Genomic DNA, 16,555 nt, shown 5'->3' with positions numbered 1-16,555 from the left:
TGTCCTTTTATTTTCTCTGTGAGGATGAAGGCTTATATTAAAGATGTGGCCACTAGCCAAAGCAATTTTTAAAGCCATCTTTTGGAATTAACTTCAGAGCTTATGCCAGAGTCTTTTTAATAATCTTGGTTTGATGCACATCTTCATCTTTTAGGGATATACTTGATATTTGGAGAACATCAAAAAGCGTTCACAGCCAAATCTTCTAAATAAGGTGCATGATATTAGCATGATATTACCTGGATGATACCCTTTAAGGTAAAAAATCAGATATAACAAAAAATGATTATAGAATATTGAAAGTGATTTGCTGGTAGTTTCAAAGCCCAAAAATTAACTTCGAAATCACTTCCAATATAGGAGTGGCCAAAGTGTTTTCAGCAAACACAGTGCCCTTGGAACTTGTAAGTATAGAGTAAGTATAGAGTCAGCCAAGGTGACTATTCTAAAAGGGATTACACCAATTTAGATGTTTGTTTAAAAAAATCAATTGTATCACTTTATGGGCTCAGTGTAATGTAATAGGAAGAGCACAAACAGTGAGAGCCAGGCAGATCTACCTCCTCCACCCCTTTCAGCTCTAAGTGACCTTGGACAAGTTATTTAAGCTGCCTGAGCTTCTGCTTCATAATCAGAAAATGCAGATAATAATTCCCACTGGGACTGTTGTGAGGGCTAGAAATATAGTAAGTAAAATACCACATATATTGGCCTATGCATAGTTCAGTATTTGTGTTTTGTTGTTTGATTAATTGATCTATACCCAGCTTCATTTCAAAATAGATCAAAAGTAGCTTAACTGCTTGTTTTCCAACCCTACATAGCCTTATTTAGGAAATAATAATATTAATAAATGTACCATGTGTTCAAGTCATTTATATTAACATTTTTTTCACAATTTTTTAAAATGTCAACTTTTAGATTCAGGGGGTACATGTACAGATTTGTTATCTGGGTATACTGCATGATGCTGAGGTTTGGGATGTGACTGATACTATCACTCAAAACTGAGCATAGTACCCAGTAATTTTTCAACCCATACCCTCCTCTGTCCTTCCCCACTCTAGTAGTCCCCACTGTCTATTGTTACCATCTTTATGTCCGTGAGTACCCAATGTTTAGCTCCCACTTGTAAGTGAGAACATGTAGTGTTTGGTTTTCTGTTCCTGCATTACTTTGCTTAGGACAATGGCCTCCAGCTGCATGCATGTTGCTACAAAGGACATTATTTCACTCTTTTTCATGGCTGCATAGTATTCCATGGTGTATGGTGTATATGTCCCACATTTTCTTTATCCAGCCCACCATTGATGAGCACCTAGGTTGGTTCCATGTCTGTGCTATGGTGAATAGTGCTGTGATGAACATACAAGTGCATGTGCCTTTTTGGTAGAACAATATTCTACCGAGAACAATTGACTTTTGGATGTATACCCAGCAGTGGGATTGCTGGGTCGAATTGTAGTTCTCTGAGAAATCTCCAAACTGCTTTCCACAGTGGCTAACCTAATTTACATTCCACCCAACAGTGCATAGATGTTCCCTTTTCTCCACAGCCTCACTGGCATCTGTTGTTGTTTGAGTTTTTGTAACAGCCATTCTGATTGGGTGAAGTGCTACTTCATTGTGGGTTTGACTTGCAATTCTCTGATGATTAGTGATATTGAACATTTTTTCATATGTTTCTTGGCCACTTGTATGTCTTCTTTTGAGAAGTGTTTGTTCATGTCTTTTCCTCGTTTTAATGGGGTTATTTGGTTTTTGCTTGTTCAACTGTTTAACTTCCTTATAGATTCTGGATTTTAGACCTTTATCAGATGTATAGTTTGCAAATATTTTCGCTCTTTCTATAGGTTATCTGTTTACTCTGTTGTTAGTTTCTTTTGCTGTGCAGAAGCTCTTTAATTTAATTATGTTCCACTTGTCAATCTTTGTGTTTGTTGCTATTGCTTTTGAGGACTTCATCATAAATTCTTTCCCAAGGCTGATGTGGTGTCCCCAAGACCAAATGATGTTTTCTAGGTTTTCTTCTAGAAGTCTTATAGTTTGGTATTTTACATTTATCTTCAATCCACCTTAATTTTTTGCATGGTGGAAAATAGGGGTCTGGTTTCATTCTTCTGCATATCACTAGGCAGCTATCCTAGCACCATTTATTGAACAAGGAGTCCTTTCCCCGTCGCTTATTTTTCTTGACTTCGACTGAAGATCAGATGGCTGTAGGTGTGTAGCTTTCTTTCCGAATTCTCTATTCTGTTCCATTCCTCTATGTGTCTGTTTTTGTACAAGTACCATGATGTTTTGGTCCCTGTGGCCTTATAGTATAGTTTGAAGTCTGGTAATGTGATACCTCTGGCTTTGCTCTTTTTGCTTAGGATTGCTATTCAGGCTCGTTTGTGGTTCCGTATAAATTTTAGAATAGTTTTCTCTAGTTCTGTGAAAAATGATGTTGGTAGTTTGATAGGAATAACATTGAATCTGTAAATTGCTTTGGGTAGTATGGCCATTTCAATGATACTGATTCTTTCAATCCATTTTACCCTTTGTTTGTGTCATCTATGATTTCTTTTAGCAGTGTCTTATAGTTCTCCTTGTAGAGATTGTTATTCTCTTTGCTTAGATGTATTCCTAGATTTTTGGGGGGTGGGGGGCACAGGTATTTGAAACGGAATTGAGTTATTGATTTGGCTCTCAGGTTGAACGTTATTGGTGCATAGATGTGCTACTGATTTTTGTAGATTGATGTCATGTCCTGAAAGTTTGCTGAAGTTATTTATCAGTTCTAGGAGCCTTTTGGCATAGTCTTTAGGGTTTTTTAGATATAGAATCACATTGTCAGGGAAAAGAGAGAGTTTTGACTTCTTCTTTCCCTATTTTGATGCCTTTAATTAGTTTCTCTTGCCTGATTGCTCTGGTTAGGACCTCCAAAACTATGCTGAATAGGTGATGACGGTGGGCATCCTTGCCTTGTTCCAGTTCTCAAAGGTAATGCTTCCAGTTTTTGCCCATTTAGTATGATGTTGGCTGTGGTTTTGTCATAGATGGCTCTTATTATTTTGAGGTATGTTCCTTTGATGCCTACTTTCTTAAGGGCTTTTTATCATGAAGGGATGTTGGATTTCATCAAAAGCTTTTTCCAAGTCTGTTGAGATGATCATATAGTTTTGGTTTTCAATTCTGTTTATGTGGTGATCCACATTTATTGATTTGCATATGTTGAACCAACCTTGCATCCCAGCAATGAAGCCTACTTGATCAAGGATCACTTTTTGATGTGCTGTTGGATTCAGTTTGCTGGTATTTGGTTGAGGATTTTTGTGTCTATGTTTGTCAAGGATATTGGTCTCTAGTTTTCTTTTTCCACTGTGTCTTTTCCAGGTTTTTGGTATCAGGATAATGGCTGGCTTTGTGGAATGAGTTAGGGAGTCCCTTCTCCATAATTTTTGTAATAGTTTCAGTAGAATTGGTACCAGCTCTTTGCATATCTGGTAGAATTCAGCTGTGAATCCATCTGTTACAGGGTTTTTTTTTTCAGTTGGTAGGTTTTTGTTTTTTTTTGTATTACTGATTCAGTTTTGGAACTTGGTTTGTTCAAGGTTTCAATTTCTTTCTGATTCAATTTTTGGAGAGTGTGTGTTTCCAGGAATTTATCCATTTCCTCTAGATTTTCTAGTTTGTGTGTATAGAGGTGTTCATAATAGTCTGTGAGTATCTATTGTATTTCTGTGTGATTGGTTATAATGTCACTTTTGTCATTTCCGATTGTATTTATTTGGATCTTCTTTTTTTCTTTGTTTACCTAGGTAGCAGTCTATTAATCTTGTTTATCCTTTCAAATAACCAACTTTTGGCTTCACTGATTCTATGTATAGATTTTTGGGTCTCAATTTTCTTCATTCTTGCTCTGATTTTAGTTATTTCTTCTTTTCTGCTAGCTTTGGGGTTAGTTTGTTCTTGTTTTTCTAGTTCCTCTAGGTGTGATGTTAGATTGTTAATTTGAGAACTTTCTAAGTTTTTGAGGTAGGCATTTAGCACTATAAACTCTCCTTTTAACACTGCTTTTGCTGCATCCCAGAGATTTTGGTATCTGTGTCTCTCTTTTCATTTATTTCAGAGAATGTTTTGATTTCTGAGTTAATATCATCATTTACCCAAAAGTCATTTAGGAGCAAGTTGCTTAATTTCCATGTAATTGTGTGGTTTTGAGAGATCTTCTTGGTATTGATTTCTATTTTATTCCATTGTGATCCAAGAATATGGCTGGTATGATTTTAATTTTGATTTTTTTGAATTCATGGAGACTTGCTTTATGGCCAAGCATGTGTTTGATCTTGGAGTATGTTCCATGTGCATGCAGTTGAGAAGAATGTATAGTCTGTGGTTAATGGGTGAAGTATTCCGTAGATGTCTTTTAGGTCCAATTGGTCAAATGTAGAATTTAAGTCCAGAATTTCTTTGTTAGTTTTTTGCTTTGATGATCTAACACTGTTAGTGGGGTGTTGAAGTCCCCTACTACTATTGTATGGCTAAGTCTTTTCATAGGTCTAGAAGAACTTGTTTTATGAATCTGGGTGCTCTAATGTTGGGTGTGTGTGTGTGTGTGTGTCTATATATATATATATATATATATATATATATATATACATATATATATATATATATACATATATATATATACACATACATGATAGCTAAGCTTTCTTGTTGAATTGAACCCTTTATCATTATGTAATGCTCTTCTTTGTTCTCTATCACTGACGTACACAAACTTCTCTCTGTGTTAAGATGGTATGATGCCTTTTGCTCTTTTTTACATTGCATTTGCCTTATGTCTGACCCTTCTTCTAACACTACTTCTGAATATGCTAAAAGGGACAGTTTATTGGAAATGCTCATCAATGATTGCTTAAGGAAAGAGCAACTAAAGTAATTTACAGCCTCCCCTTCTATCAATCCCAAATCAACACGAGCCTCTGCTACACATTATGAGATACCTGGATTCAACTGCTGAATCATGAACTATTCTATTTCTAAATGGTGCACTGAAGTGGAATTCCCTCTTTTTGTTCACCTTTTCCACCCAAGCTGTGGAACATTCTAGAACCATAGACCAGAAAGCCATCTGTGCTTCACCACTGGTAACGTGGAGACCCTCATCCTGTAGCCAGGATGCCACAGCACCCCTTCTTCATGTTTTGCAGGTGTCCCTGAGGAGGGGACTATTCTGCATGTGTCTTCCAGGTCATCCAACTTTTTTGTAGAGGAAGAGAGATTTTCTTCCATCAGCCGCTCTTCCTCTATTTGCCTCTGTCTTCCTCCAGAGGCACATGGGTCATCATCAAGGACATTTATTAGATGATGTCACTTCTTTCCTAAGCTTGCTTAGGATGCTCACTAGCTCATGAAATCCAGAACCCATAAGAACAGCAGCACTTAATATGAGTCACAAGGTGTTACAATTGTTGTCATTGTTTTAACTCTGGGCTGCTTTTGTATCTTGAGTATATTTCTATTTTGCACTTATCACCAGGTATCATAACTGTCAGAGCTGTCTGCCCTAAACCATAGTTTAGAAACTTTTACATCCCCTTTGCCTTGCACAGTGACTGGTACATGTCTGATAAATGCCCATTGGATTAACACACTCAGATGCAGGAGAATGTTGAATCATTTGCATTCTTTAGGCACTTAAAGCATTAGAAGAAGTTGAAGGAGTTTGCATGAGTGAATAAGGGCAGCAAAGATTTAAGATAGAAAGAAGAAATGAGTTCTTCTCCAAAGGCTGATCATGCCAATGTCTAGAAGTCTATAAGGCCCCAACTATTGGGTGGGAGGGGTGGGGGATAAAGATTTTTCCTTTTTCAGTTACTAAAAATTCCTTTACCACCTTCTGTATACCCTCTGTGCTTGGCATCAGAAAATCAAAGATACATGACAAAACATCTTTTTCTTAAGGACTTGATACTTACAAAGAATTACCACTCAGAATGATAGAAGCCATGATAAATTTTATATATATACACACACACATATATATATATATAATTTATATATGTGTGTGTGTGTGTGTGTATAAAATGGTGTGAGTATGTGTGAGACGGAGAGAGAAAGGGAAAGGGAGAGAGAGAAAAAGCACAGCGGGCACAAAGGGAGGCTTAGTTGGGCCTTATCAATCCCCTGCTTAAACTCCCCAGTAGCATGCCACCACACTTGAAATAAAATCCACATCCTTTACCATGATGTACCAGACCCTGCCCAACTCAGCCCCTTTCCATCTCTTTGTCCTCATCGCCCATCACACTGTCCCTTACTCACGCCACACCTGCCTACAAACATTATTTCTGTCCTTGAACACAGCTGATCCTTTCTCACCTCAAAGCCCTTGCCCTCAGATCTTCACAAGGCCACCTCTTTCTTGATTATTCAGACCTCAACTCAAATATCTCATTCTTTGAATAATATCTACATAATGTCCTCTCCTCAGTCATTTTCTATGGCGTTACTCTGTTTTGTATTACCTTCATAAAATGTTTCCCTATGAAGTTATCTTGTTTACTTACTTACATAATTATTGTCTGCCCTTTTTTCCCTCTGACCCCCGACCCAGTGCACTAGAATGGGGACTTCCTGAAAGCAGGGAAGCCTCCTCTGGCTTGCTCACTGTTCTGCCCCAGTGCCTCGAATGTGCCTGGAGGCTGGCACCTAATTAACATTCATCAAGTATGAATGTGGCCTGGGGAAGACAAGAAAGATTCACCAAAGAAAAGTTATAGGTTAAAATATGCCATGAATAGGGAGGGCAGTTAGGGCCAACACCAGGACTTTGGCTGTTAGAATGCAGGGTGCGGGATGAAGTGTGGAGATGGACTAAAGGGGTGAAGCATCCCAAGGTCTTTGTTGGCCAGGAATAGGACTCAAGAGCCCAGACCCCAGAGCTAGAGTGCAAAGATCAAATGTCAGGGGGCCTCCCTTACCAGATGTGTGACCTGGGACAATCACCTAACCTTTCTAATCACTTGTTTCTTCATTTTCAGAAGAGCTGATAATGGCAGTACTCTTCATTAGCTAGTGTGAAGGTTAAATGTGTCACGTGGAAAATGCCTAGTAGTACCTGGGACATAGTTAGCTAAGCATTTATACTGTGCCCTAGAAGGGAATCACTGAAGAGTTTGAGGAGTAGGGTTATGGGATTCAGATTTGTATTTTTTAAAGATCATCAGGCTGGCAGTGGGGAGGATGGACTGGAGGGGGCTGATAAATCAGAGTCAAGGAAACAACCAGGTAGTCAAGACAGACCAAGACAAAGCAGTGGCAGCAAGACTGATCCAAGAGTTATTAAGACAGTGGACTCTGGCATCAGTTTGAGGAGGGAGATAAGGGAAGGAGATGATTCAGTGGGTGGCTGGTGGTACCATTTGCCCATATGGGAAATACAGGAGGGAACCCAGTTTGAGAGCGAGGGTGGGTAGGGAAGGTGAGGAGGTGTGATTTCTTCAGCTGTGGCTGGCTGAGTTGAAGTGTTATGGGAACTCCAGGTGGAGCTTCCCAGAGAGAAAACCCCCACATCTTTCTGATCACAATATAACCCTAATATGATTAGCATTGTACTTATCAGTACCTAATAAATATTAGCGCTTAATATTTGGTGTTTAAAATTTTTGCTTTTGAAGAAAATACTGTGAGAAACATTTTTGTCCACATTCAAGTTTTTTCTTTTAGACTTCTATATGTAGAATTACTGGGGCAAAAGGTATGTTACCTTTTGAAGAATTTAATTCATCTTGCCAAATTGCTTTTCAAAAATTTTGTACCAATAATATACTCCCACAATAACCTAGGATTTTTAAAAAGCAGCTTAAATGTTTTTTATAAATACCACTCCCAAAGTTGCCAGCGTATGGAGAACAGTCCTCTTGTGTGTAGGGATAAACCTAAGCATCAACTTCGGCTCCTTCCTTAAAAGTTGACAATTGCCTTTTTGTCCTAGGGAAACCCCCAAAGTCAATGTCTGTTATTCATTAACATGTTGCAATACCACAACCCAAATCATATTCTTGGAAACATGATGGTGTGTAAAATACAAACACTGTATGTGTAAATACTCCCGTGAGGTCTGTGGATGGGGGTATAAGGAGAAGGTACTTAGTGAACAAAAAGATCTATTGTACCAAAACTACATTAACACTATCTTCCACCACCCCCTGCCCCACCAGAGAACTTCCTTTACCACAGTTTAGTGTATATACACGCAAGGAAGTTCCATTTCCTTTGAATCAATACATGGGTTATAAGAGGGCACCATTCACCGATTTTAACCCAGAATAAGCTAAAATTTCTTTTTAATACATATGTCAATAGATTTTCATCAAGCTAAAGAACAGCCATTTTCCCTGAAGGCAGCATTTTGGTCAGTTCCACATATGGTTATCATGAATTGTTGGTCATTCAGGTACTTTCTGTGGTTTTTGTTACTGTTTTTCTTACGCTGACCACACACAACTGTGACACCTCTGGGTAACAGAACCCAAGAAAGTCTGTGATATGTTTGCTATCCCTTTCTGTGAATGCTCACTTTGTGTTTATTAGAATTAGATTTGTACCTTAAGAACCCAATGTAGATTTAATGAAGGTTTATCTGTTGTCTTTTTGAGAAAGTCCTTATGAAGGCAACTTGGGTATGATGTTCTTGTCCATGTGTTGTATTGAATTGAATATTTGTTTTGTGTTTCTTATAATCCACTGGAGGCCCGTAGCAGCAACACTTGCTGCTTCTGTTTAGAGCAGGGGTCCCCAACCACTGGGCCATGGACCAGTATTGGAGCATGAACTCTATTGTGAACTGCACATGCAAAGGATCTAGGTCATGCACTCTTATGAAAATCTAACTAATGCCTCATGATCTGAGGTGGAACAGCTTCTAATCATTCCCCACCCCACCCTGCTGCTGGTTTACAGCCTTAACCATCCATCAAGGTTTGAAGGGAGATTCATACTTGCTTTTGGAGACTTTCTTATACTTAGTCCACAGTCGCTGTTCTCAGGAGTTAATGGGAGGAGCCCAAAATTTTTCAAAAGAGGTTGGGTCTAATTTGTATCAAGTGGGACTTATGTCAAGTAGCGAAGCAATAAAGATTGTTCATCTCTTGTAAACCGTGATTCTTTTCTTCTAGCGAGAATCAGTCAGGGGTGGATCCATCAAAGAATGGGGAAGACATGATACTTCTGCTTGAATGTGGACTTGGTAGCTCCAAAATGATCTCCTTTGTTATTGGGATGGTCATCAATGCTTGAAGGAAATTGCTGTGGTTGTGATGGGGAGTTGAGTAGAATATAATGCATCTCACTACTAGAGAGTCCATCAGATGTCCCTGGTCCTCCTGGGGTTGTCTGTTATCATATTTAAGAGTTCACTTCCCATCCATTGTGTCCATTTGTAAGAAAGGCTCTCCAAAAGAACATAATAGCAAGTTTACACATACTGTTGAGCCTATTTACCATAGGGATCTCAAAATCATAGGGGTCCTGCCTGTTTTGTTGTGGTTGTTTACATTCTTTGTGTCTATTTCTATATACTGCACAGATTATACCATAAAGCTATTTTGTGATAAGAAGAATTGAGAGAGACTGAAACCAAATCTTTCTCTCGAGCTACAAGTTTCTCTGAAAATAGAAAGAGACCTACCCATATTTTTAAAAAATTACACCTGTTATCCAGTTCTAGCTATAATGGCAACTCATAAAATCTTAGAATTTTAGATTCAGGTTACATGGGGAAAGTGAATATAGTCCTCCCTTGGTATCCATGGGGGTTGGTTTCAGGACCCCAGTGGATATAAAAATCCATTATAAAATGGTATAGTATTTGCATATGATCTATGCACATCCTCCCATATACTGTAAATCATCTCTAGATTTCTCATAATACCTAATACAATATAAATGCTATATAAATTGTTGTTATACTGTATTTTTACTTGCATTATTTTTTATTGTTGTATTGTGTTGGATATTTTCCCCTAATATTGTCTTCCGTGGTTGGTTGTATCCTGGATGCTGAGTGCGCAATAGGGAAGCCTAACTATTAGAAACCAGCTGCTATGTAACATTGGCCTCTAGGAAAAAGTGTCTCCTGGTCAAACAAGTTAGGGAAACCCTGTGTCCTGCATCTTCCTCCTTCTGGATATTAACAATGAAAAGTCAACTGTAACTCAGCATTTTCCAAACTTACTTGACCACCGAGTCTTTTTTACCCTATATAATAGCTGTTAACATCCTGCATGTAGGAAATGAGTCCAGTCACACCGTGGAGGTCCAGAAAATTAAGCCACTTGCCTGAGGTCACAAAGTCAGTAATGACAGAACCGGGGCGGGACCCCACTGCTGGCTGATAGCCTCTCTCAGAATGGCTTCAAAAGGTGTTCAAGATTATGTTTCTTTGAAATTGATGTAAAGAGTGATTTCTAAAGTTGTAGGATCCTAGTTTAATTTGGAGAGATTTATCTGTTAGCAGATGGAAAATGTGTCAGTTGGCCCATTCAATTTAGTAGTACTCTTTATTCAGATGCATCAGAAATGGGACCTGAATCGTATGCGTGGTGGAGAACAAAACGTTCCTGAGGCGCTCAGTGTGAGGGGTGGGAACGGAGAAAGGCAATAAGCAATTAAACAAGTAGATATGTAATTACAAATTATGATGCGTGCTATGTATGTGCTGTCAGATTGAACTTAAATTTGCAGTCTTTTTTTAATTGACCCAGAACTAAAAGGAATCAATAGCAGTTGTTTTTATGGTTATCTGAATACTCAGCTCATAACGACTGTTTGCACCACGTGACAGCCTCTCCCCTTCTTGTTTTTCCAGCCCAGTGGAGCAAAATGAGAGCGCAGTGAGCCGGGCCCAGCTTCTCTCCTAGCCGTTCCGACTCCCACCATGAACCACTTGGAGGGGTCTGCGGAGGTGGAGGTGACCGACGAGGCGGCAGGTGGGGAGGTGAACGAGTCGGTGGAGGCCGACCTGGAGCACCCCGAGGTGGAAGAGGAACAGCAGCAGCCGCCGCAGCAGCAGCACTATGTGGGCCGCCACCAGCGCGGGCGAGCCCTCGAGGACCTCCGCGCCCAGCTCGGCCAGGAGGAAGAGGAGCGCGGGGAATGCCTGGCGCGCTCAGCCAGCACGGAGAGCGGCTTCCACAACCACACGGACACCGCCGAGGGCGACGTGATCGCCGCGGCCCGCGACGGCTACGATGCGGAGCGCGCGCAGGACCCCGAGGACGAGAGCGCCTATGCTGTGCAGTACCGGCCCGAGGCCGAGGAGTACACGGAGCAGGCAGAGGCCGAGCACGCCGAGGCCACGCACCGCCGCGCGCTGCCCAACCACCTGCACTTCCACTCGCTGGAGCACGAGGAAGCCATGAATGCGGCCTACTCAGGCTACGTCTACACGCACCGGCTCTTCCACCGCGGTGAGGACGAGCCCTACTCCGAGCCCTATGCCGACTACGGCGGCCTCCAGGAGCACGTGTACGAGGAGATAGGGGACGCGCCCGAGCTGGACGCACGCGACGGCCTGCGGCTCTACGAGCAGGAGCGCGACGAGGCGGCCGCGTACCGCCAGGAGGCCCTGGGCGCGCGGCTGCACCATTACGACGAGCGCTCCGACGGCGAGTCCGACAGCCCCGAGAAGGAGGCCGAGTTCGCGCCCTACCCGCGCATGGACAGCTACGAGCAGGAGGAGGACATCGACCAGATAGTGGCCGAGGTGAAGCAGAGCATGAGCTCGCAGAGCCTCGACAAGGCAGCCGAGGACATGCCTGAGGCCGAGCAGGACCTGGAGCGTCCCCCTACCCCGGCCGGGGGTCGCCCCGACAGCCCCGGGCTGCAGGCGCCGGCGGGGCAGCAGCGGGCGGTGGGCCCCGCGGGCGGCGGCGAGGCGGGGCAGCGGTACAGCAAGGAGAAGCGCGATGCCATCTCGCTGGCCATCAAGGACATCAAGGAGGCCATCGAGGAGGTGAAAACCAGGACCATCCGTTCGCCTTACACCCCCGACGAGCCCAAAGAGCCCATCTGGGTCATGCGCCAGGACATTAGCCCCACCAGGGACTGTGACGACCAGAGGCCGATGGACGGAGATGTAAGTAGGTGCGGGTTTGGGCTTCCTCGGCCCCACGCGGTGGGAGGGAAGATGGCGCCCCATGGCCTTGTGTGCCCTTGGGTAGTGACTTTACGGGAAGTAGTCTGTGGGGACGCTAAGAACTTTTCCACCGTAAGCCTCAGAAACAGCTTGCACCTAAACTGTCAAACGCCAGCGGGAGAGAATTAAAGTGTTGAATGCACTCATCAGATTCTTAGCAGGATGGCCTCAAATCAGTGCTTCCCACACTGTGCCTGGAGACCTTGTGAGAAATGCATTATTGGGTACATCGCCCTCCACCCCCCGCCCCCCCCCCCCCCAGTTTCTGATTCAGAAAGTATGGAGTGGGGCCCGAGAATTTGTATTTCTAATGCCAAATAAAAAACAAGCCATGCTTGAGGAAGGAGAGACTTCACTGGAAAGGATTATTGCAAAGGGGAGAAAGATACTGTTTCGTTTTAGGGAGGAAGGACTGTTGCCATATGAGAACCTCTGACCTTAAGATCTTTAAGGGTCTCTAGAGTTAGGTACAAGGGGGAAGTTGTTTTATAGGGAGGAGTAGCCAAGTAGAAAGAATAGGGTATGTGAAAGTGGCATGAAAAGGGTGGGAGTTGAATGTGCTGTGGATCAGAGAATGTTTCCACCTGAGACCAGCGTTTTCTCAGGAGTGGTTGTATGCTGGCCAAAGTTCACGCACCTGGAGGAAGGAGAGACACTTAACCAAAGTTTGGTTAGCAAGCAGTTCAGCTGATCGTTTGTGAAGAAAGAATGGGAATGTGGAGGGTCTGCGTCTGGCCTTGTCATAGGAAAACAAGAGGAGCATCCCTATCCCTGCTCTGTGTCAGAAAAGAAGGAGTTTCCCAGAACACAAAAGGTTGGGGGTATTTCTTCATTTTGTTTCTCTGGTTCTCAGGTAAAGTTCAACGTTGTCACTAACAAGTTCTCATGCGATGCTCCTGGTCCCAGGACGACAATTTGAGAACTGCCTTATATCAATCCCTTGAAGATCTGGGATGGGTAGTGTGCCCTCTTTGGAGGATAGCCTTCCAAGCCTTTTTCCGCCAGGGGTTTCTGCAGTTTTGTTTATTTGTTTTGTTTTGTTTTGTGACGGAGTCTTGCTCTGTCACCCAGGCTGGAGTGCAGTGATGCAATCTCCGCTCACCGTAACCTCTGCCTCCCAGGTTCAAGCAATTCTACCTCAGTCTCCCAAGTAGCTGGGATTACAGGCAGGTGTCACCACGTCCAGCTAATTTTTGTATTTTTTAGTAGAGACGGGGTTTCATAACGTTGGCCAGGCTGGTCTCGAACCGCTGGCCACAAGTGAACCACTCACCTCGGCCTCCCCAAGTGCTGGGATTACAGATGTGAGCCACAGCACCTGGCCGGTTTCTGCAATTTTTTTTGTTTTGGTTTGGTTTTTTGAGACAGAATTTCACTCTTTTTGCCCAGGCTGGAGTGCAATGGTGTGATCTCGGCTCACTGCAACCTCCGCCTCCCAGGTTCAAGTGATTTTCCTGCCTCAGTCTCCTGAGTAGCTGGGATGACAGGCGCATCCACTATGCCCAACTAATCTTGTATTTTTAGTAGGAGTGGGGTTTCACCATGTTGGCTAGGCTGGGCTTGAACTCCTAACCTCAGGTGATCTGCCTGCCTTGGCTTCCCAAAGTGCTGGGATTACAGATGTGAAACACCACTCCCAGGCTCTGCAGTTTTTTTCACCCACCCTATGCCTCATTGTGGTAGGTGCCTAATTTTTCACATCTGGTGGTATCAGGGTATCCTTCCCACTTCACAAAAGATATGTATTCTGTTTTAAAGCAAATTGTGTTTCATTGTGAAGAGCTACACAAAGTAACTGATGCCACTATTGACATTTTCCATTTTTGAAATACCTAAGAAATGTGATAACATGGCAAGCTTAGGTGTCACAATCTGTTCAGAATATATCAGGAAGACTAACCTTTGCTCTGACTCGTTTGCTATAAAGATTCTCTCTGCTTCTACTCTCCCTTTCCATACTCTTGAATAATTTTGAAGCCTTTCATTTAAAAATGGATCTTGGAGTAAGATAAGGGTCAAGAGCTTATATTCAATTTCATTTAATTCTGCATTTTATGATTGCACCAGGCCATTTCTCAATATATATCTTTGGAGTGAGAAACCATTATTGTAAGGTATTTGTTCATTTTACTTACACATAAAGAGCTACGCAGGTCAGAGTGGTAGCATTCACCTCCTCTTTAAGGAATAGTCAGCATTTTCTGTTAGCCGATTAGGAAAGGTTGGAAACCAGTAGGGAAGGGAACTTCATTCTCCCCAGCAAGGGGACAGCATTGGGTCAGTGAGCTCAGACATGTCCTGTCTTTGTTTTCTAGGCTTCTGATTTAGTGAAAAATAAGTGCACTCACGTGTAGAATTCTCCTTGACCTCCAGCTGTCTCCAGATTCCTCCCAGCTAGGAGGGATTGCAGCAAGCATTTTGCAAATGAGGTGGAAATAGAGCAGGTTTTCAAAAGTAGGGAGTTGACAAAAGGCTGGCTTCTGTATCCTTTTAGAAACCTGGAAAGCCACCAGAGGAAAAAGCTGCAGGCACAGTTGGTCCAGATGCTGGCCTCTTCCTTCAGCTTTCTCCAGTGCACCAGCTCCTTGAAATGACCTGCTTAACCAATTGCCCCTGCAGCCTCACAGTGAGCCCACAGTACAGCCTATGGTAGGGTTAGAGGCTGGCTTTTATTCATTTGAACTAGGAGAACAACTTAATTCTCTTGCATGCTGTTTCATTCAAAAGGTGAAATTAATTATAGAACATTGTATGATGCTTTAGGAACCAACCATGTCAGAAAATCAGCTTGATGCTAAGAAATCAATATGGATCACTGGGTTATGAATAGTTAATATAAAGTGAAACTGAAAACCTGTGCTTTAAAGTATTCCAGCAGTCATTTTTAAGCTATTTGTGGGTTGTATTTAATCTGTCATGCCATATTTATAGGAAAGACCTTCCTTTGCTGCCTCTTTAATGGTCTACTGAGAATATAATGATATTATATTCTGTTGATTTCCATCTCAGCATCAAAAAATATTTACTGAACACTAGTTCTCCATGTATGCTGTTATAGAAAATGGAAAGGTGTTTTAAAACCATGTGATCTGAAGTCTGTCTGGGTGGTACTTATTAGAAATGCAAGTTACTGCCCTTCGTTTCCAAACCAGAATACCTGATGTGGGTCTCAGTGATCTGGTTGTTTCATTTTATTTTATTTTGTTTTGTAAACTTTCCCTGAGATTCGTAAGCATGTGAAAGATTGAGAACTACTGATTTAAAGGAAAAAATGTATTATCTGGGCACTTTCCCCATGTAAGTGCTGTGGATATAAGATTTAACTAAATCTTTTATTAGCACAGATAAAGTTTTAACAAAAAGAGGTATCTCACTGTGATTATGGTCAGCAGACCTGGAGAAATGGTATTCTTACAAAAGCAGAATTTTGAGTATTTGCATTCTCAAAATGGCAAGATCACAAACTATAATGAAGCAAATAAAAGGAGACAAAAAAACCTGTATTGCCATTTGTCAGCCACCGTTGCTAATTGCTAAATCTGTTTTTAACACTACTTTTAATTCCCCCAGAACTTAAGTGCTTTTTTCTTGGAGCAAACTGGCATTTGTTTGCTGGTGAGTTGTATATAGAGAGAAAATGGGATTGCTAATCCATAAGAGTTTACTGAACACTCTCTCAGCACTGAGAGAAAATAACTGTGTTCTAAACATTTGAAAAAAATACTTATGTGATTTTCTTCTAGTAAGGAGTTTCACTTTTCTAAATATATGCCTGAGAAGTATCTCCCAATCCCCTTCTTGAAAAATATTGATAATGAAAACCTGTCCTTTTTCTTTTCTTTTCTTTTTTTCTTTTTATTTATTTATTTATTTATTTATTATACTTTAAGTTTTAGGGTACATGTGCACATTGTGCAGGTTAGTTACATATGTATACGTGTGCCATGCTGGTGCGCTGCACCCACTAACTCGTCATCTAGCATTAGGTATATCTCCCAATGCTATCCCTCCCCCCTACCCCCACCCCACCACAGTCCCCAGAGTGTGATATTCCCCTTCCTGTGTCCATGTGATCTCATTGTTCAATTCCCGCCTATGAGTGAGAATATGCGGTGTTTGGTTTTCTGTTCTTGCGATAGTTTACTGAGAATGATGATTTCCAATTTCATCCATGTCCCTACAAAGGACATGAACTCATCATTTTTTATGGCTGCATAGTATTCCATGGTGTATATGTGCCACATTTTCTTAATCCAGTCTGTCATTGTTGGACATTTGGGTTGGTTCCAAGTCTTTGCTATTGTGAATAATGCCGCAGTAAACATACGTGTGCATGTGTCTTTATAGCAGCATGATTTATAGTCC

The 16,555-nt window shown here is 41.8% G+C and overlaps 1 protein-coding gene across 5 annotated transcripts in view, besides 1 other annotated feature; it reads left to right on the top strand.

Annotated features, from left to right (window-relative positions):
- Positions 1-16,555, top strand: part of APBA1 (amyloid beta precursor protein binding family A member 1) — a 245,482-nt gene that overhangs the window by 144,873 nt on the left and 84,054 nt on the right. For all 5 annotated transcript variants that reach the window (XM_011518617.3, XM_005251968.4, NM_001163.4 and 2 more), the window contains one exon: positions 10,862-12,130. In XM_011518617.3, the coding sequence (XP_011516919.1) occupies positions 10,931-12,130 (1,200 nt within the window). In that variant the 5' untranslated portion in view covers positions 10,862-10,930. The remainder of the gene's footprint in view (positions 1-10,861; positions 12,131-16,555) is intronic.
- Positions 16,071-16,555: part of a mobile genetic element, noted in NCBI's record as "direction; forward", that runs on past the window's edge.

This window comes from Homo sapiens, chromosome 9, assembly GCF_000001405.40.
Source record: "Homo sapiens chromosome 9, GRCh38.p14 Primary Assembly".
Lineage (NCBI taxonomy): Eukaryota > Metazoa > Chordata > Mammalia > Primates > Hominidae > Homo > Homo sapiens.
The sequence above is the reverse complement of the archived record's forward strand: the minus strand, read 5'-3'. Positions and strand labels throughout refer to the sequence as shown.